The sequence below is a fragment of the Homo sapiens genome, chromosome 8 (assembly GCF_000001405.40).
Source record: "Homo sapiens chromosome 8, GRCh38.p14 Primary Assembly".
In the NCBI taxonomy this organism is placed as follows: domain Eukaryota; kingdom Metazoa; phylum Chordata; class Mammalia; order Primates; family Hominidae; genus Homo; species Homo sapiens.
This window is the reverse complement of record NC_000008.11, coordinates 67,292,141-67,313,367: the sequence shown is the minus strand read 5'-3', so window position 1 is coordinate 67,313,367 and position 21,227 is coordinate 67,292,141. Positions and strand designations below refer to the sequence as shown.

Below are 21,227 nucleotides of genomic sequence, written 5' to 3'. Positions count from 1 at the left end.
GACAAAACTAGGCCTGTCAGCATCCCGCAAAAATCACACTAGTTTACCAGCAGTGGATCCAAACCAAGAAGAAATCCCTGATTTACCTGAAAAAGAGTTCAGGAGGTTAATTCTTAAGCTAATCAGGGAAGGACCAGATAAAGGTGAAGCCCAATGCAAGGAAATCCAAAAAATGAACTCCTGGGCTCAAGTGATCTTCCTGGCTCAGCCTCCCAAGTAGCTGGGATTCCAGGTGCACACTATCGCACCCAGCTAAATGTCTTCTAATTGTTGTGCTTGGACCTTTTATATTTAATGTAATATTTGTATATAAGGGCATAAGTCTGCTACTTTACTTTTGCTTTCTGTTGTTCCCTCTGTTTTTTGTTGTCCATTTTCATGCATTTATGTGGACCTCTTGAAAAATTTTTAGAATTCCATTTTGATTGTTCTGCTGGAGTTTTGAGTGTATCTCTTTATATTTGATTTTTGGTGGTTGTACTAGGCATTACATTATTCATACATAGCTTTTCACAGTATACTGATGTCAGCATTTTACCAGTTTGAGTAACCTGTAGAAAAACCTTAGCTCCATTTAGGTCCTTTTATCTTCCCTCTCTGTAGTATTGTCTTAAATACTTTTTCTGCATACATTAGCAACCACATAAGACAGTGTTTTATTTTTTGTGTTAAATGTGTAACAATTTTTAAAACTCGAGGAGAATAGTGTTATATGTTTCCATATTTTTACACTTCCCATTCTTCACGGTGTTTCAAAACTTCTGATTTCCTTTGTGTTTGAAGAACTTTAGTTATTCTTTTAGGACAGATCTTGTGGTGACAGGTTTGTTTGTTTTTTTTGTTATCCTTCATCTGAGAAGATCTTGATTTTACCTTTATTCCTTTAGGATTTTTCACAGATTATCTATATAACTCTGGGTGACAGATCTTTTCTTTCACCTCTTGGAAATGTTGTGCCACAGCTCCTATTGGCTTCCATGGTGTCCAATAAGAAGTCCACTGTCACTGTAATCATTTTTCTTCTATCGATATTATGTCATTTCTTTCTACCTGCTTTCAAGATTGTTTTGTCTTTAGTTTTCTGGGGTTTGATTCTGGTGTGTGTTGTTTTTTTTTTTTTTTAATTTTTTTTTTATTGATAATTCTTGGGTGTTTCTCACAGAGGGGGATTTGGCAGGGTCATGGGACAATAGTGGAGGGAAGGTCAGCAGATAAACAAGTGAACAGAGGTCTCTGGTTTTCCTAGGCAGAGGAAACACTGCCTTCCGCAGTGTTTGTGTCCCTGATTACTTGAGATTAGGGAGTGGTGATGACTCTTACCGAGCATGCTGCCTTCAAGCATCTGTTTAACAAAGCACATCTTGCACTGCCCTTAATCCATTTAACCCTGAGTGGACACAGCACATGTTTCAGAGAGCACAGGGTTGGGGGTAAGGTCACAGATCAACAGGATCCCAAGGCAGAAGAATTTTTCTTAGTACAGAGCAAAATGAAAATTCTCCCATGTCTACTACTTTCTACACAGACACGGCAACCATCCGATTTCTCAATCTTTTCCCCACCTTTCCCGCCTTTCTATTCCACAAAGCCGCCATTGTCATCCTGGCCCGTTCTCAATGAGCTGTTGGGCACACCTCCCAGACAGGGTGGTGGCCGGGCAGAAGGGCTCTTCACTTCCCAGTAGGGGCGGCCGGGCAGAGGCGCCCCTCACCTCCCGGACGGGGCGGCTGGCTGGGCGGGGGGGCTGACCCCCCCACCTCCCTCCCGGACGAGGCGGCTGGCCAGGCGGGGGGCTGACCCCCCCATCTCCCTCCCAGACTGGGCGGCTGGCCAGGCAGGGGGCTGACCCCCCCCCACCTCCCTCCCGGACGGGGCGGCTGGCCAGGCGGGTGGCTGACCCCCCCACCTCCCTCCCTGATGGGGCGGCTGGCCGGGCGGGGGGCTGACCCCCCACCTCCCTCCCGGACGGGGCGGCTGGCTGGGCAGAGGGGCTCCTCACTTCCCAGTAGGGGCGGCCGGGCAGAGGCGCCCCTCACCTCCTGGATGGGGCAGCTGGCCGGGCGGGGGGGCTGACCCCCCCCACCTCCCTCCCGGACGGGGCGGCTGGCCGGGCGGGGGGCTGACCTCCCCACCTCCCTCCCGGACGGGGCGGCTGGCCAGGCAGAGGGGCTCCTCACTTCCCAGTGGGGGCGGCCGGGCAGAGGCGCCCCTCACCTCCCAGACGGGGCAGCTGGCCGGTCGCGGGGCTGACCCCCCCACCTCCCTCCCGGACGGGGCGGCTGGCCGGGCAGAGGGGCTCCTCACTTCCCAGTAGGGGTGGCCGGGCAGAGGCGCCCCTCACCTCCCAGACGGGGCGGCTGGCCGGGCGGGGGGCTGACCCCCCAACCTCCCTCCCGGGCCCCACCTCCCTCCTGGACGGGGTGGCTGCCGGGCGGAGAGGCTCCTCACTTCCCAGATGGGGTGGCTGCCGGGTGGAGAGGCTCCTCACTTCTCAGACGGGGCAGCTGCCAGGCGGAGGGGCTCCTCACTTCTCAGACGGGGTGGTTGCCAGGCACAGGGTCTCTTCACTTCTCAGATGGGGCAGCCGGGCAGAGACGCTCCTCACCTCCCAGACGGGGTCGCGGCCGGGCAGAGGCGCTCCTCACATCCCAGATTGGGCGGCGGGGCAGAGGCGCTCCCCACATCTCAGACGATGGGCGGCCGGGCAGAGACGCTCCTCACTTCCTAGATGTGATGGTGGCCGGGAAGAGGCGCTCCTCACTTTCCAGACTGGGCAGCCAGGCAGAGGGGCTCCTCACATCCCAGACGATGGGCGGCCAGGCAGAGACACTCCTCACTTCCCAGATGGGGTGGTGGCCGGGCAGAGGCTCCAATCTCGGCACTTTGGGAGGCCAAGGCAGGCGGCTGGGAGGTGTAGGTTGTAGCGAGCCGAGATCACGCCACTGCACTCCAGCCTGGGCACTATTGAGCACTGAGTGAACGAGACTCCGTCTGCAATCCTGGCACCTCGGGAGGCTGAGGCTGGCGGATCACTCGCGGTTAAGGGCTGGAGACCGGCCCGGCCAACACAGCGAAACCCCGTCTCCACCAAAACCAGTCAGGCGTGGTGGCGCGTGCCTGCAATCGCAGGCACTCGGCAGGCTGAGGCAGGAGAATCAGGCAGGGAGGTTGCAGTGAGCCGAGATGGCAGCAGTACAGTCCAGCTTCGGCTCCGCATGAGAGGGAGACCGTGGAAAGAGAGGGAAACCGTGGGGAGAGGGAGAGGGAGAGGGAGAGGGGAGCGATTCTGGTGTATCTTAACTTGGATTTCTATCCTGTTTGGGTTTGCTCAGCTGAATCTATAGGTTTGTGTATAATACCAAAGTATTTTGTATTAGTGGTTACAACGCAAAGTTGGATCGTGAAGTCAATTTTGTGGCTTATGACTAGTATTATGATTGGTTTTTAATAGAATAGAAAATGAAAATATATCCCAGAATAACAAGGATAATAATTAATTTTTTATTTTCATAACATATATGTAGGTGTTTTCTGGGATCCAGGATAGTGGTTTGCAGTCAGAAACGTTGGAAAACTATTGATTAAGACCATTCACAAGATTTTGTTTTGTTTGACAAAAGAGGCTAGTTAACACCCCTGAATCTGAGACTCTGATGCTAATGAGCAAAAAGTATTTTTTTCTCCAAATCACCTGGGCTTCATAGTTTGTTTCTTCTAACCAGTTAAATTGTTTAAAAACTTATGAATCTAAGTAGAGGTTACACTTTGTATAAACTCAAAACAGATGGCTTTAGGAACAGTGTCACTTTCTGCCCCTGATGTTATATGTAATAATCATAAGTAGGGAAGGTATGCGAAGGAAAAGGAAAGAAAATAGCAAAGAAGAACAAGATGGTATTTTTTCTTTCTCTTTTAGTTCTCCAGAATATGGTAGCATTTATTAAATGTCTGCATACTATGTAACTCACACTGTGCTGGATGCTAGGAATGCAAAGAAGAATGAAAAATGTCCCTGTTCTATGTAACAGATCACTAAAGCTTATTCTTCTGGTCTAGCTGAAATTTTGTATCCTTTGATCGCTATCTCTCTTTTCCCCATTTATGTACCTCCTCTAACTTCTGGTAACCCTCATTCTACTCTACTTCTATGAGTTTGACTTTTTTAGATTCCACATACAAGTAAAATCATGTGTCTTTCTGTGCCTGACTTTTTTCACTTAGCGTAGTATCTTCCATTTTTTCACTTAGTGTAATATCTTGCCTATGTTGTCGCAAATGACAGGATTTCCTTCTTTTTAAGGCAGAATGGTATTCCATTGTGTATATTTTATTAGATTGTCTTTATCCATTCATCTGATGATGGACACCTAGGTTGCCTCCATATCTTCGCTACTGTGACTGTAATAAATAATAATGCATTATATATTTCAGAATTACTAAAGGTAGATTTTAAATATTTTTACAATTAAAAAAGTATGTGAGTTGGATTTGTTAATTAGCTTGGTCATTCCATATAGTAAAAACATACCAAAACACCTCATTGTACCCCATAAATATATAATATATACAATTAATATGTGTCCATTAAAATAATAAAATTAAAAAATAAAAAAATTTCCTTGCATTCAAGTAGCTCAGAATCAAAGGTAAGCAAATAATCTCAGTGCTTTATAAATAAGTGCCTTATAAAAATAGGTCCTTGTTTCTATGGGAGCACATAAGCAGGGATGATGAGTAAGAATGGCAAATGGGCAAGAGGCTGAGGCTGTGGAATATTTCACCTAAGAGGTGAAGTTCAGCCTCCATCTTGAGGGGAGGAGTCAGGGATTGCCAGGCATATTACAAAGGAATTGATTTAGGGGACAGAGCCCTAGCTGCATTTTATTAAGCTCTATATCTGTTAACCATGTGGTTTCCTTATCTAGATTTTCACAACACATTAAAAGAGCTTTCCATGATCCTGGCAATCCTTTTGTACCTCTAGGTAGCTGTCTCTCCCATTTGCCAAGAAGTTATTTCAAACCCCATTCTCTCTAAGCCTCTTTAACTTTTCCTATTCCAGGTGTCCATCGCTGTATAATAAACCACCCAAGACTTAGTGGTGTAATGCAGTGATCATTTTATTATGCTTACAGGTTCTGTGTGTCAGGAATTCAGATGGGGCATGCTGCTGCTCCACAGTGTCTGGGGCCTCAGCTGGGCAAACTGAAATGACTGAGGGAGATGTGAATGGCCAGGAACTGGAATCCTCTGGAGCCATCTTTACTTACATGTCTGGTGCCTGGATGGTGATGACTTTGAAAGCTGGGCTCAGCTGGGACTGGTGACGGAACTATTTTTTGTAGCCTCCAAGTGGCTTGGGCTTCTCACAACAGGGCCATTGGGCTCCAAGAGGGGGTGCCTGGAAAGCCAGTATTCTATTCTAAGAGAATCAGGCAGGAGCTGCTTGGCCTTTCTGACCTAACCTCAGCTGTTGTTCACTGTCACTTCCACTGCATTTTGTTGGTTATAAATGAATCTCTAAGGCCAGCCCAGATTTAAGGGGAGGGGAGTTAGAATATCTCCTGGTGGCAAGGTCACTATGTAGAAGAACACGTGGTATGGCAGATACCATAGTGGTCGTTTTGGGAAATATAGTCAGCCACACTCTCTCCCAGTTTTCAAATTCATAAATCTTGATTCTTGCTGAATATTGCCACTTGAATATCCCACAGTTACTTAAAATGAAACATGACCATTAACTCTTCTTCACTCCTACCCCTCCAGCTCTACCCCTGCACATTGAGAAAATGGCATTGTGGCTAAGTACGTCTATTATCCAGTTATGCAAGCCAAAACCCCTTTTCTTCCTAACATGTCCCTGCCTTACTAGGTTAATGAGATTGTTCCATTCTTCTTCCTTGTCCGTGGAATTTACATTTACTCATCCCTGTTGTCACCAGCTTTTCTTAGAACAGTGCTTGCACACACACAGTTTGAGACAGATCACAGAAATACTGAACTTTTGTTTTGCAGTCACATTCCATTCTTCAGACTTGGCTCAAAGCTACTTGTGATTAATTGGTGGCTGGTTTGATTCTCTTTCTAGATGATTTTCCTTTGTGAGTTTATTCATTTAAAAGGAGGAGGCAAGCAGGAAAGAAGCACAAAAAGATGAATTCCATAAGTATTTTTGAATACTAGCGGCATTATGGTAATTGATATATAGACTCCCAGAGTTACTGCTTTGAAGGAGACAATGCTTTGGATGTGTAGGTTCTCATGTGTTTATTAAAAACTATCCATTTGTGGCTGGGCGTGGTGGCTCACGCCTGTAATCCCAGCACTTTGGGAGGCCAGGGCAGGTGGATCACCTGTGGTCAGGAGTTCGAGACCAGCCTGGCCAACATGGTGAAACCTCGTCTCTACTAAAAATACAAAAATTAGCTGTGCTTGGTGGCGGGCACCCCGTAGTCCCAGCTACTCAGGAGGCTGAGGCAGGAGAATTGCTTGAACCCAGGAAGAGGAGGTTGCAGCAAGCTGAGATCGCACCACTGCACTTCAGCCTGGGCAACAGAGTGAGACTCTGTCTGAAAAAAAGGAAAGCAAAACAAACAAACAAAACTATCCATTTGCTTTCGAGAGCTTTCCTTAAATTACCACTTCAGTTTGCATTGAGTAGCTGCTGTTACTTTGTAAACTATACTATATATAAGACAAAATTGATGTAATGAGAGGTAAATACAAATAATTCATAGTGTACAGATAATAGAATTTGTTGAATCCATATAAATATTATTTTGCGGGTTGTATTTGTACTGTCAGTGGAAAAAGCAGCTAAACAAGTTGATAGTAAAAATAATATTATGAGGGGAGATGTTTAATATACTTAGGAGATCAGGTATAACTCGCATATACTCAGTTTAAAAAAAAAGTCTTTCCTGTTTATTAAATGTGTCCTGTGCCTTATAAACAGTGTTGATTTGGCTAGAAAATATTACATAGAAATTCCATAAATAAGCAATTGTTAAGTTTTAAATTGTACACCATTCTTAGTAGCATGATGAAATCTTGCCCTGTCCCACCCAGGATGTGAATCTTTGTCCAGTGTCTCCATGCTCTATAAGCTACCTTCCCATTTAGTCACATAGTAGCCATCTCAGTTATCACAACTGACTGTTGTAGTAGGGCATGCTTGTGTTCAAGTCACTCTTATTTTACTTAATACCCCCAAAGCACAAGAGTGGTGATGCTGGCAATTCAGATACGCCAAAGAGAAGCTTGTGAAGTGCTTCCTTTAGGTGAAAAGGTGAAAGTTCTCAACTTAAGAAAAAACAATCATATGCTGAGGTTACTAAGATTTGTAGTAAGAAAGAATCTTCTGTCTGTGAAATTATGAAGAAGGAAAAATAAATTCTTGCTAGTTTTGCTGTCGAACTTCAAACTGAAAATTACGGCCATAGTATATGATAAGTACTTAGTTAAGATGAAAAAGGCATTAAATTTGTCATGAAAGACATGAACAGAAATATGTTCTAGTTGACAGAAATCAAGTTTGATTTAATCTGAGGTTTCAGGCATCCGCTGAGGTCTTGGAATATATCCCCTGCAGATAAGGGGGGAATGTAATCCTGATAATTGTAGAATGATATTTTTCACTTCATTTGCACCAGTTATTACAAGTTTGCTTAAATATAGCACAATGTATTGGGTAATACACTAGTTTAAGACTAGAAAAACAAGGCCGGGCGCGGTGGCTCACACCTGTAATCCCAGCACTTTGGGAGGCTGAGGCGGGCTGATCACCTAAGGTCAGGAGTTCAAGACCAGCCTGACCAACATGGAGAAACCCCGTCTCTACTAAAAATACAAAATTAACTAGGTGTGGTGGCGCATGCCTGTAATCCCAGCTACTCAGGAGGATGAGGCAGGAGAATCGCTTGAACCCGAGCAACAAGAGCAAGCTTTATCTCACAAAAACAAACAAAAACAACTAGAGAAACAAGTTTCTGGATCACCGCCTATCAGTTATCTGACCTTAGAACTGGCCATTATTTATTCTGATCCTTAGTTTCCCTATCAAGTTGATTGCAGATGTTCAGCTGTAAAAACTGTTCTTCCACTCGTGGGCTGCACAAAAACTTATGGTAGGCTTCTGTTCACCCATGTTTTAGAATATAAGGAACCTTTATTATCTAGTAGTTAGTGAAGTTAGAGTTGTTTCTCATGCTCACAGTTATTTAGTGATATTTGGTATCAAAACACAGTGCTCTTTAAAATGTTTCATTTCCTCTGATATTCCTAGTTAGCGTATAATTTACTTAACTAGAATATCCTATTCTGTAATTATTTTACAAATGGGAATTCACCTTATAACAAAAACTGCCAGCTCCTCTTCTTCCCCTGCCTTGCCTTTTTTCCTGCCTTACTGGTTTGTAGTAGTATCTCAGCCTCTTAAATAATGATAATTTTTTTAAATGAAGAATACTTAAATTATTTTATGATGATTTAGGTCAGTCAACACAGCATTTCCTCCTTATCCATACATTTATTTTATTTTATTTATTTTTGACACAGAGTCTCATTCTGTCACCCAGGCTGGAGCGCAGTGGCGCAATCTCAGCTCACTGCAGCTTCCGCTTCCTGGGTTCAAGCGATTCCTGTGCCTCAGCCTCCCAAGTAGCTGGGACTACAGGCATGCACCGCCATGCCCGGCTAATATTTGTATTTCATGGGGTTTCACCATGTTGGCCAGGCTGGTCTCAAATTCCTGACCTCAAGTGATCGATGTGCCTCGGCTTCCCAAGGTGCTGGGATTATAGGTGTGAGCCACTGCGCCCAGCCCACACATATATTTTCAAGTGATAAAGATTATTTTTGATTGTATCTGTTGGTGAGCCGTGCAATTTTAGTAACTGATATACAGATCTTAAATATCATTGTGAACCTTTATTAAAGTGGTATTTTAAATAGCTGCAGATAATATTTTTATACTATCTGCCTTCTAGTTCTACCAGTAATAAAATGGAAAGGGGTTTGGTTCACAGAAAACTAAACTGAAATACTGAACATCAGATGCCTGGCACACAGTAGGCAATGAGTAAATTTGTATGTATTGTATGAATAAGTTGTATGGATTGTGCGAATGAATTGTAGAAATTGTATAGCAAGGTGATTTGTCAAAGTCGCTTTTTAAAGGGTTTAATACAGTATCTGGTACGTGAAAGATGCTCAGTTAGTGATAGTGTTAAAAATGTATAGGCCAGTAGTTGTTTATCATACCCCAATTTAGCACAGTTTGTTCAGTTTCTCAGATACACCTATATGGTAGAACGGTTAATAAACCAGAATCTGTAGTTAGATTACCTAATATTGAAACCTGATTAGCCATACGTCCAAGCCATGCAGCCTTTGGACAAGTTGTTCAACCTCTCTTCCTCAATTTTCCAGTCTTTAAAATGAAGATATAATAGTACACACCTCATAGGATTGTTGTCAAACATAAATACATTAGTTGCATGTAAAGTGTAATAGTCTATGTAAAGTTTAGTATATGTAAAGTGTAGTAGTACTTGGCACACATTTGAATACCTTTTTTCCAAATTTCAGGCAGATTTAGTCAATTAGCCAGATTCCCCAATATATTAATTAATTATTATTTTTTTTTTTTTTTAAGAGATGGAGTCTCACTCTGTCGCTGAGGCTGGAGGGTGGTGGTGTGATTTTGGCTCACTGCAACCTCCGCCTCCCAGGTTCAAGTGATTCTCCTGCCTCAGCCGTCCGAGTAGCTGTGGTTATAGGCGCGCACCACCAGCACGCCTGGCTAATTTTTGTGTTTTTAGTAGAGACGATGTTTCACCACGTTGGCCAGACTGGTCTGGAAGTCCTGACCTCAGGTGATCCGCCCACCTTGGCCTCCCCAAGTGCTGGGATTACAGGCATGAGCCACTGTGCTCAGCCAATTAAATTTAAGGGTCTTCTATTACGGGTAGGATTTGTCTAATTTATCTGATACCTTATAGTATAAATAGTGAAAGGGAAAATTTCCCATTAAATTGAGCATGTGTATTTTATAGGGCCTTGTATAGTCATAAATAGAAAAATGAGTTAAATATCAATGCACAAACATATTTAAGAAGTTATAGTTCTGGTCTGATAATCTCCCTGGGGTAATCACAAGGTTGGTGCATTGAGGTGTTTTTCCTCCTGTCCCCAAACATCTGCCGTACATTTTGTGACTTCATTATAGCATACACATTATTCTGTTGTGATTTTTTTTTTTTGGTGGGAGGACAGGGTCTTGTTCTTGTGCCCAGGCTGGATTGTAGTGGAGTCTAGTGGTTATAGCTCACTGTAACCTTTAACTCTTGGGCTCAAGGGACCCTCCCACCTCAACCCCCTGCCCCACATAGCTAGGACTGTAGGCATACACCACCATGCCCAAGCTGATTTAAATTTTTTTTTTTTTTTTTTTTTTTTTTTAAGAGATGGGGTCTTTGTTGCCCAGGCTGATCTCAGACTCCTTGCCTCAAGTGATCCTCCTGCGTTGGCCTCCCAAAGCACTAGGATTACAGGCGTGAGCCACTGAACTTGGCCCTGTTCTTAATATTAATGCTTCTGCTTAATGTAACTAGTTACTTGACGAAAAAGGAAATGCTTTGAGAAAAGGAAATGCGTTGGGAATTAATAATCTGTAACTTCACCTATCCTTATGTTTGTTAATGTACCTATTCATATAGTTTTATGTTATTTGTGTAAATTAAAAAATTTAGATGAAACAATTTTAGCATCTAATTTTTATTAAATTTGCATTCTTTCCAACTTTTTGTAGAAGTTCCAAATGAGTTTATAGAACTTAAGAAATTACTCAGTCTTTCTGCTGTCCAGTTTTCTAATGTATGCTTCTTTTTTTTTCCCCTCAGAGGAAATAAAAGCGGAAACTGAAAAACAGAGGTTTGTGGGATTTCTTTTCTTTAGTAAAAATAATTTTCAAACTTGTCAGTCTTGGTCAAAATAATATAGTCATCTGTATTTTAGTGTGGCAAATTCTCTGCATGTGAGTTTTATAGTAAAATCAACTTTAAAAATAGGTTTTAAGAAATACAATTATATAAAAACAATAAATACAATTATATTTCTTAAAACCTATTTTTATATATATTTATAAAAATGTATGCATATATTTTTTTGGAGACAGGGTCTCGCTCTGTTGTCCAGGCTGGAGTGCGGTGGTGTGATCACAGCTCACTGCAACTTCTGCTTCCCAGGCTCAAGTGATCCTTCCACCTCAGCCTGCCGAGTACCTGGGACTACAGGCGAGCACCACCATGCCTGTCTAATTTTTTGTAGAGATGGGATTCTGCCATATTTCCCAGGCTGGTCTCGAACTCCTGAACTCAAGTGACCCACGCACCTCGGCTTCCCAAAGTGCTGGGATTACAGGCATGAGCCACCAGACTCTGCTCTAAGCATACTTAAAAATACAAAAAGATTCTCATATAAATAAGTATATAAAGATACTTCTGAAATACCATAAGATAGGCTTCAGAGTCTTTTCTTAAAGACTTTGATTCATATTTGGAAAAATTACTAGGTTTTTTGATAGTGTTGGCATTTTTAGGACAATATTGAATAACTAAAAAAACTCACTTTGACTTAAGGACAAATAGAAAGGCCATTGCTTTTTAAGGTATTATGATACCAAATTTGTTAAGTGACAATAAAATATTTCTGTAATAGAAGCAACTTGAATTTTACAGTTTTTGTAGACCAGTTTTGCAGACAAGATTTCAGCGTCTTGTGGTTAGTCACAGCTCTGGCCACTAGCTTTTGACTATGTGGCAAACCACTTCACTTCTCTGGGCTTGGGTTTCCTCTCGAAATATGGGAAGATAGAGGACTGGTTTAGCAAGATTCCTTTTAGAACTGAAATTCTGTGTTTCTACATGGGTTTATTATCAATATTATAAATGTGATACGCTATAATCAGACTTTTCTTTCTCATTTAGTCCTCCTCATGGAGAAGCAAAAGCTGGATCAAGCACCCTTCCACCAGTGAAATCAAAGACAAATTTTATTGAAGCAGACAAGTACTTCTTGCCTTTTGAGTTGGCATGCCAGTCCAAATGTCCTCGCATAGTTAGTACATCTCTAGATTGCTTACAGGTATGTCTAAAATGGCACTTTCTAAAAACTGTGTACTTTGAATGTGTTTCTAAAACATTACTCACATTGATGATTCAGACATTTCCATGAAAGCTTTGAATACTCTTTTTTGTGGTAAAAAATCCAAGTGATTTTTTATATTTAAGACAGATAATAATAGTTGCAAAAAGATATTTCTAGTTTAATACTAACAATCATTAACTTAGTGGGATATAAAATCTTTACTAAGTTTATCAATAATGAAAAGTGTTGATTTGGTCTCTTCTCATCAGTGAAATGCAAGACCTGTAATACTTTTAACCTGCTGCCGACTTTACATACATCACCATTTGCAAATAATTTTTCTAAGTGTCTGCTGTTTTTTTTTTTTTTAATTTTTTGAGACGAAGTCTTGCTCTGTTGCCTGGGCTGGAGTGCAGTGGCGTAATCTTGGCTCACTGTGACCTCTGCCCCCTGTGTTCAAGCAATTCTCCTGCCCCAGACTTCTGAGTAGTTGGGAATACAGGTGTGTGTAACCATGCCCAGCTAATTTTTGTATTTTTTTTTTTTTTTTTTTTTTTTTTGAAGAGACAAGAGTTTCACCATGTTGGCCAGGCTGGTCTTGAACTCCTGACCTCAAGTGATCTGCCTGCCCGTCTTGGCCTCCCAAAGTACTGGGATTACAGGCGTGAGCCACTGTGCCTGGCCAGTGTCTGTTTTATATGAAGCAATAGGTTAATATTGGCAGCTTAATATAATTTAATATTTAACTGCTATACTTTAGCGATGGCAGTCATTTATGTCAGAAAAATTTCTGAACTCTGTTACCCTGTTTGACACATATACAGAGGATCTTCATAGATATTATATTTGTAAGACAAGTTTCTAAGTAGAGGAATACTTCTCTTTTCAGATGTTCTCACTATTTGGGAATTATATGTATTCAACTATAATTCAGTAGCTAGGAAAAGACCATATTATTTGTCCTTAAGGATAGGTTAAAGATAAGTTCATCTGAATTGTGATCTTGTTTTCACTGGAAAATTAGAATGATAATATGTAAAGCCTTCCTTCCAGGGTATACTGATAATGATGAATGAACAAATCTATGATTTATCTCAGCTAGTATATGGAAACTGGGTTTTATACATATTGATGAATCATTTGGAAAGAGATTGGGGGTCATATAAAAGCATGAAGATAATTTTCACAAAAGCAGTATCAATAAAACCTTGTTTATGTGGAAAGCAATAAGCAATTTTTTTTTTGTTTTTTTTTGTGACAAGGTCTCACTGTCACCTACGTTGGAGTGCAGTGGCGCAGGCTTGGCTTACTGCAACCTCCACCTCCCAAGGCTCAAGCAGTCCTCTCACCTCAGCCTCCTGAGTAGCTGGGACTATAGGCATGTACCACCACACCCAGCTAATTTTTTATTTTTTGTAGAGATGGGCTTTCCCTGTGTTGCCAGCTGGCCTCGAACTCCTAAGCTCAAGCAGTCCACCCAATGTGGACTGACAATGTGGGAGGCAAGCAGGCCTCCCAAAGTGCTGGGATTACAGGCATGAGCCACTGCGCCCAGCACAGTAAGCAATTCTAACTCATCAGAGACAGGTTCTCCAAGGCCTGACTTTCTCAAAATATTACCTGATGGTTTTATTGTGGTTATTGTTCTGTTTTTGTGATTATTACAAGTATAAATAACTTTGCATATTTGAATAAAGTTTCTACAGAAAAAGTTGGTATAGCTTTGGCTTTGATAATACCTTTATGTTTTTGTGTAAAAATTTTATGTATATTCAATTGTATACTGTAATTTTAATGTATATTGCATTAGTATGTATAATATTTGTTACCTTACTTAGGATCTTTGTTTTCTTTCTCCATTTTAGAAACTTATTGCTTATGGGCACTTGACTGGCAATGCTCCAGATAGTACAACACCAGGCAAAAAATTAATTGATAGAATTATTGAAACAATATGTGGCTGCTTTCAGGGCCCTCAGACAGATGAAGGAGTTCAGCTGCAGATAATAAAGGTAATTATTATATAAAGTAAAATTGTTATTAATAATCTGTATCTTCAAAATTCAGATGCCTTTCACCTTAAAACATTAGGAAAGATCATTTTATGTGCATTCCAGCTATAATACAGGTTATTCGAGGCCGGGCTCAGTGGCTCATGCCTGTAATCCCAGCACTTTGGGAGGCCAAGTTGGGCGGATCACTTGAGGTCAGGAGTTTGAGAGCAGCCTGGCCAACATGGTGAAACCCCCATCTCTACTAAAAATACTCTACTAAAAATACCAAAAAAATTAGCTGGGCATGATGGTGGGCACCTGTAGTTCCAGCCACTCAGGAGGCTGAGGCAGGAGAATCACTTGAACCTGGGAGGCGGAGGTTGCAGTGAGCCAAGACCATGCCACTGTGCTCCAGCCTGGGTGACAGAGTGAAACTCAGTCTCAAGAAAAAAACGAAGAGGTCATTTGGATGCTTTCTAGACTCCATATTAGGGGATTTTAATGTTGTATGCCAAGAGTTTGTTAGAGGAAAAGTATGTTCTCATATCTCTTCTTTTGAAGGTCTCAGTTTAGACTTAGTCCCTAGAGTCTTCCAAAGTTTTTCTGTTTCTGGCATGTTTTTCATATGTATATATATATTGCATCCATCAAACTTTAGGGTAGTTCTTAAAGCTGTGACCCCTCTAGTTTCTTCTGTACTGTTGGACCTTTCATAGCTTGTCCTCTCAACTCACAAATTACCAGGTGGACACTACTTATCCGCCAATTCTCCTGATATCGTTGCACCCATCCATCTATAGAACTTGCTCAGCAAAACCCTGTTCTGAGTTTGTGCTGTAACGTACTTGTTTGATTGAATTCCTTTGGAGAAAAATTAGTAATGTTTTCATTCTGTTACAGATACTGAGTTCTTAATGTTATTGCTAATGGTAGTGGTGGTATATTTTTATAGCAGTAAAATTTTCATGTGCTATATATAGTACAGTACTTTTGAAATTGTTTTTACGTGTATATATGAAGTGTTCTTTCATGTGTGAATACAACCCTTTTGGAGCCTTTCAGTTTTATAGTTGTGTTTACTTCAGAAGCCATACAATATCTTTATTCTAAAAAAAAAAAAATACTGGGCATGGTAGCTCATGCCTGTAATCCCAGCACTTTGGGAGGCCAAGGCAAGAAGGTTGCTTGATCCCAGAAGTTCGAGACCAGCCTGGGCAACACAGCAAGACCCTGTCTCTACAAAAAATAATTTAAAAATTAGCCAGATGTGGTGATGTGTGCCTGTGGTCCCAGCTACTCAGGAGGCTGAGGTGGGAGGATTACTTGAGCCCAGGAATTGAGGCTGCAGTGAGCCATGTTCACTGCACTGCACTTCAGGCTTGGCAACAGAGTGAGATCCTGTCTCAAAAAAGAAAAAAAAAAAAAACGGGTTGATCATTTTGACCTATCATGTATAGTTTCATGTCATTTATGGTTTAAGATAATGCCCATTAATGCTGACCCTGCATAGCATTGTACAACATAAAGAAGACAAAAGATAAGAGTCTTTGCTCTTGAGAAATTGGAAGTAACCCAATATGTGAAAATTCACATAGGTTAAATTTGTTCATTTTATTGAAATATTTGCCTTAGGAATTTGTTTTTTAATTTGGGACAGTCTCACTCTGTTGCCCAGGCTAAGTGCTGTGGCATGATCACAGCTCACTGGAGTCTTGACCTCCCTGACTCAAATGATCCTCCCACCTCAGCCTTCCAAGTAGCTGGGGCCACAGGTATATGGCACTTACGCCCAGCTACTTTGGGATTATTTTAAATGCTTTATTCTAAAACATTTATAAACCTCTTCAACAATAACAACAACAGCACAGCTATTGAGTTCAGTGTGTTAAAAAAAGATCTCAGAAAAATTTAGAGGCAAATAAGACACAGTGTGTATCTTCCCAAGTTGATGGTCTAGTTCAACAGATATCTCATGTGACGTATCTGTGCTCTGCTGTAACAGCTTTCATGCTGTGCATTTTAGTAAGTTAAATAGTATTTTCATTAAAATGAAACCTTGGTTGAAACAAATCAGTTAAATGGTTTTCAGATTATGTGGAAATTACTGCCGCAGTGAGGAAAACATCAAATATTTTAACAGTTGATGATATATTCAAGGCCAGTAGAAATTCTGTGTATACTACCCGCAAGTGGTAATTGTTTCTGAAAGTTTTAATTGTAATATGAAAATGCTTAATTTTTGTGCTGAAACTCTAGATGCAGAAAATCACTTTAAGGCTGGGTGTGGTGGCTCATGCCTGTAACCCCCGCACTTTGGGAGGCTGAGGTGGGAGGCTTGCATGAAGCCAGGAGTGAGACCAGTCTGGGCAACAAAGAGAGACTGCATCTCTACAGAAAAATAAAACAAAATTAGCCGGGTGTGGTGGTGCTCACCTGTAGTCCCAGCTACTCAGGAGGCTGCTGCGAGAGGATCACTTAAGTCCAGGAGTTCAAGGCTGCAGTGAACTATGATCACACTACTGCACTCCAGCCTGGGTGACAGAGCGAGAAAGACTGTCTCCAAAAAAAAAAAGAAAAAGAAAATCTCTTTAACTTTTTCCTTTTTTTTTCTTAAAGGCTTTACTTACTGCAGTAACATCACAACACATAGAAATTCATGAAGGGACTGTACTGCAAGCTGTGAGAACATGTTACAATATCTACTTAGCAAGCAAAAATCTCATCAATCAGACAACAGCCAAAGCTACTCTCACTCAGATGCTAAATGTTATCTTTGCACGCATGGAAAACCAAGCAGTAAGTATTTTAAGAAGAGAGAGGTTGTATAGAACACAACAGGCATTAAACATAGAAAGGAGTTTACAGTAATTAGAGTGAAATCTTTGTACCTGTAGAAAAGAATGTCTTTTATTTACATTTCCACTTACTGGAGATTTGTGGGATTGTGTTTTATTTTGTTTTGTTTTAAGGTTTACCGACTTAACTTTGGACAAAGTATTTTTAGTTGTTCACAAATAGTATGTGAAATATGCTGATTGCCATCTTCCTTGTGGAAGTACTTATGAATTAATACTTTTATTGCATTCAAACTTAGTAGAGTGTAATGTAGCTATAAAATACTTAATCTAATCTGAAATAAAATTATTCATTAAGCCTTAAAAAAGTATATTTCCATATTGATGAAATACGTTTTTTCCCCTGTATGATAAAGGGGCATGATATTCCTTATACTTTGAACTGCTTCAGGTTGATTGTTAAGAGATCAGCAACTAGAGAATTGTTTTTAAATGCATAAGTCTTCACTATTAAAAATCAACATCAAGCTTCTTATTTTGAACTCTTTTTAAACGTAGAGAAAAGTTGCAAAAATTTTTCAGAGCAATCCCTTTTACCCTTCACCCTGGTTCCCTTAATGCAGTTAACTTACATACCTACATAGTACAATTATCAAAAGCAGAATTAACACTGGTACAATACTGTTAACTAAACCACAGACCCTGCTTGAATTTCACCAATTTTCCCACTAATGTTTTAAGATTTGACCCAGGATCCCACATTGTGTTCAGTATGCATTTAGTTCTTATGTCTTAGTCTTCTCCAGTCTGTGACAGTTCCTCAACTTTTCCTTATCTTTTTCATGATCTTGCTATTTTTAAAAGGATACTAATAATTTATTTTGTTGAATTTTCCTCAGTTTACTTTTTGTGATGTTTTCTCGTGATTAGAATGAGGTTGTGCATTTTTTGCCAGAATATCTCTGAGACAATGTTGTGTCCTTTTCAGTGCATTTTGTCAGGACTTCATGATGTTGATATACCTTAATGTTGGTGATGTTAACCTTGATCACTTGGTTAAGGTAGTTATCTGTCAGGTTCCTCCACTATGAAGTTAGTAGTTTTTCTTTTGCAATTAATAAATATCTTTGGGGAGATATTTTAAGACAGTGCAAATACTGTTTCTCTTCAGATCCTCCCCTCACTTGCTCAGTTTTAATATCTGTCAGTGGATCTTGTTGGCAACAGTTAATTATTGTGGCGTTTCCCTAATGATTTTCCTGTTTCTCTCTTCTGTATTTATTAATTGAATTTCTCCTCCCTTAATTTATTTATTTATATCAATCTGTAATCACAGATATTTATTTTATTTTATGGTTGTAATGTGTGCTACAGTTACTTATTTTGTTGCCCAAATTATTACACTTTTGGCCCTGTGTCCTTGTGACCAGCTCCCATCCTTTTTTGAGTACTTCCATGCTTTCTGGATTCTCAAGATTTTCCAGGCTCATTTTGAATTTTCCCAGCTTCAGCCTTGGAATCAACCACTTCAATAAGGAGCTGTAGCTCTTTTGATTGGAGAATGGTATTTAGAAACCAAAATCTGAGTGCTAGTTGTATTCATTGTCACTCTGTGTTATTGCTTCTAGGCCTCTCAGCAGATAGAGTTAGGAAATATATGTTTATATACTATCCCTTCCGTCCCACTCAATTCCTACACCTGTATGTGACTTTCCATATGTAGGTAATAAAACCATGTGTTCATACTGATATTTCTGATTCCAGTGCAACAATACAGGGTTCATTTCAGTCTTCTCCCTTTATATGTAAACTTCTTTCTCTAAACAATGAGAAATATGGCTTTTGTATTCTAAATACATTGATTGTTCAATCCTATTATACCCATTAGTTTTAGAATTGCTAATCATTACCAGTGTGAGAAACAAATTTACTAAGTAGATTATAGCATTTATATTCAGGTTTTTTTGTCTTTAGCCTTATCCATTCAAAATATTATTTTCTAGTTACTTAGATTAGTTCCTTTCTTCCCCACACTCTGCAATAGGGTAATGCTATTCCTTTGTGATAATAGTTAGACTCATTTGTTACTCTCTGCTTTTCATTTTTGGTATTCGTCACATCCTGGTTAGTTTTAATTACAGTCATCCCTCAGTATTCATGGGGGATTGGTTCCAGGGCCCTCCCATGGATACCAAAATCTGTGGATACTCAAGTCTGTTTTATAAAATGGTGTAATATTTGCATATAAGCTACACACATCCTCTGTATACTTTAAATCATCTCTACATTACTTATAATACCTAATACTTTGTAAATAGTTGTTATACTGTATTGTTTAGGGAATAACGACCAAAAAAAAAAGTTGTCTGTACATGTTTGTTCAGTACAGACACAGCTATTCTTTCCCCCCGCCATCAGTATTTTCAATCCCTGTTTGGTTGAATCCACTGATGTAGAACCCATGGATACACAGAGGGCGAACTGTACTTATTTATTTTTTAGGTATGTAAAACATTACTGCGATTTAAGAGTCAGAGCTGTACAAAAGGTCTACTCAGAAAAGTACCAATTCCTACTAATTCCTACCACTGCATTCCTCTTCTTCCCTTCTTTCCACCCCTTGAATGTAAGACGGAAGCCACATGTCTACCTTATAATCAGAAGCGGTCACACCGGTACATTGTGGAAAGGGACTACACAAGGGAGTGAAAATTGAGAGGTGGACATCATTGGTGACCATCTTGAAGACTAGCTACCACATATGCTATACATTCTCTTTTGTATTTTGCTCTTATCATTGAGCAGTATGTCCTAGAAAGCATTTCATATCAGTCCTTAAAGACCTTCCTCATTCTTTTTTATAGATGATAGTACTTTAGGATATAGCCTATTATCTATTAAGTCACTCTCCTCTGTAGTGGCATTAATTTATTTCTAATATTTTGCAGCCACAAACAGTGGTTTTGCTGCTTTTTTTTGAGGACATAAAATATTTTTGTCACTTTTTAATAACAAAGTTTTATTGGTTTGATTTGATTAACAGACTTTTTATTAAGTTCCTTATATGTTCCTGGCACTGTGCTAGGCCTCACTTATACAGTGACGAGCAAAACCGACTTGACTATTACCTTTGAAGATCTTAGGAACATTTGAGGCAAAGAGTTTCCCTTAAACAACTGCAGAACTGAATTATGATAAAGGCTATGAACATGTATTGTGTTACAAAGGATATTTAGTTCTGTGCTATGGATAATTATAGAAAAGGTGGAAAAGAGGGAGAGAAAATAAGGGGAAATGGGATACAGACGACTTAACTTCCACATTTGCTAAAATCTTCTAAGCCAGATGTTGAATTCTTTGATATTAGCTACTGGTAACCTTAATTTTCCCCTTCCCCCACAAAATAAAACTCCTTACAAAGCAAATCTTGTCAGACTTTATTATTAAAATCCTTTAATTCAAGCTTATTTTATAAATTCGTGTAATTCTGGCATTTCCACCTAACCTGGAATATTACTGGAGAATATGAAATGTTCATATTTACTACTGTATAAGATTTATCTTGGTGGAAATTAATTCTGTGAGACTCATTCTTATCAGGTCTTGAGGACCAAAAGAGATGTGTGAAAGCAATAAAGTGCTAAAAAATGAAATCTTGTGATCCCAGTTAATGTTTCTAACATTTTGTGAGCCAGTTTTACAGATAGTATTATATACATAATAATGACAGTTTTTCTAAAATAAAATTCAGACATTTGTAGATATAGTTTTTTTCATAATTATTAGATGGCTAGGCAGAGTGATTTAAGCCTTCATTGTAATTCTATTAAATGTAATTTTAATTTTTTTATTAAAAGATATTTGACAAGGTGACATAAGAACATGCTCCAGAAGGATAAACACTGAAAAGTTGCCTCCCACTCTTGTTTTCCATTTTATTTCCTAATCTCTACCCTCTATAGGTAATTGTTAGTACTAGCTTCTTATGTATTTTTATAGACTTTCTGTATGTATAAGCAAAAGTGAATGTGTGTGCGTGTGTTTCATCCACACAAACACCAAATACAGTGAAAATGCTATATAGTGAAAGTCTTTCATCTCTGTTCTTATGTGCCAATTTCCAGCCACCTAAGAAGTAAACATTGTTCATTGTTTTTAGTATAGTTTATGTTCTCCATTTCTGATAAACTTTAATTTCCAAGCGTAGAGAGAATGGCACCTTATAGAAAGGATTGTTGGAGGTAACATTATCCTTCCAAATTTTAAACAACTTATTTTACTAATATTGGAA

At 39.8% G+C, this 21,227-nt stretch overlaps 1 protein-coding gene across 17 annotated transcripts in view, besides 2 other annotated features; it reads left to right on the top strand.

Annotated features, from left to right (window-relative positions):
• ARFGEF1 (ARF guanine nucleotide exchange factor 1) overlaps positions 1-21,227 on the top strand; it is a 170,271-nt gene that overhangs the window by 30,414 nt on the left and 118,630 nt on the right. For 16 of the 17 annotated variants that reach the window (NR_182117.1, NM_001413186.1, NM_001413187.1 and 13 more), the window contains 4 exons: positions 10,902-10,932; positions 11,988-12,144; positions 14,013-14,159; positions 16,758-16,937. Coding sequence is in view for 15 of the 17 variants with exons in the window: in NM_001413186.1 (NP_001400115.1) it covers positions 10,902-10,932; positions 11,988-12,144; positions 14,013-14,159; positions 16,758-16,937 (515 nt within the window). In the remaining 2 variants the exon portion in view is untranslated. The remainder of the gene's footprint in view (positions 1-10,901; positions 10,933-11,987; positions 12,145-14,012; positions 14,160-16,757; positions 16,938-21,227) is intronic. The other variant, NM_001413197.1, reaches the window with a different exon arrangement.
• Positions 2,378-3,032: an enhancer, noted in NCBI's record as "H3K27ac-H3K4me1 hESC enhancer chr8:68222571-68223225 (GRCh37/hg19 assembly coordinates)". NCBI's record gives its function as "activates a minimal SCP1, AML or CMV promoter by ChIP-STARR-seq in primed H9 embryonic stem cells {active_cell/tissue: H9 hESC(primed)}" and the evidence as "EXISTENCE:reporter gene assay evidence [ECO:0000049][PMID:30033119]".
• Positions 3,033-3,688: an enhancer, noted in NCBI's record as "H3K27ac-H3K4me1 hESC enhancer chr8:68221915-68222570 (GRCh37/hg19 assembly coordinates)". NCBI's record gives its function as "activates a minimal SCP1, AML or CMV promoter by ChIP-STARR-seq in primed H9 embryonic stem cells {active_cell/tissue: H9 hESC(primed)}" and the evidence as "EXISTENCE:reporter gene assay evidence [ECO:0000049][PMID:30033119]".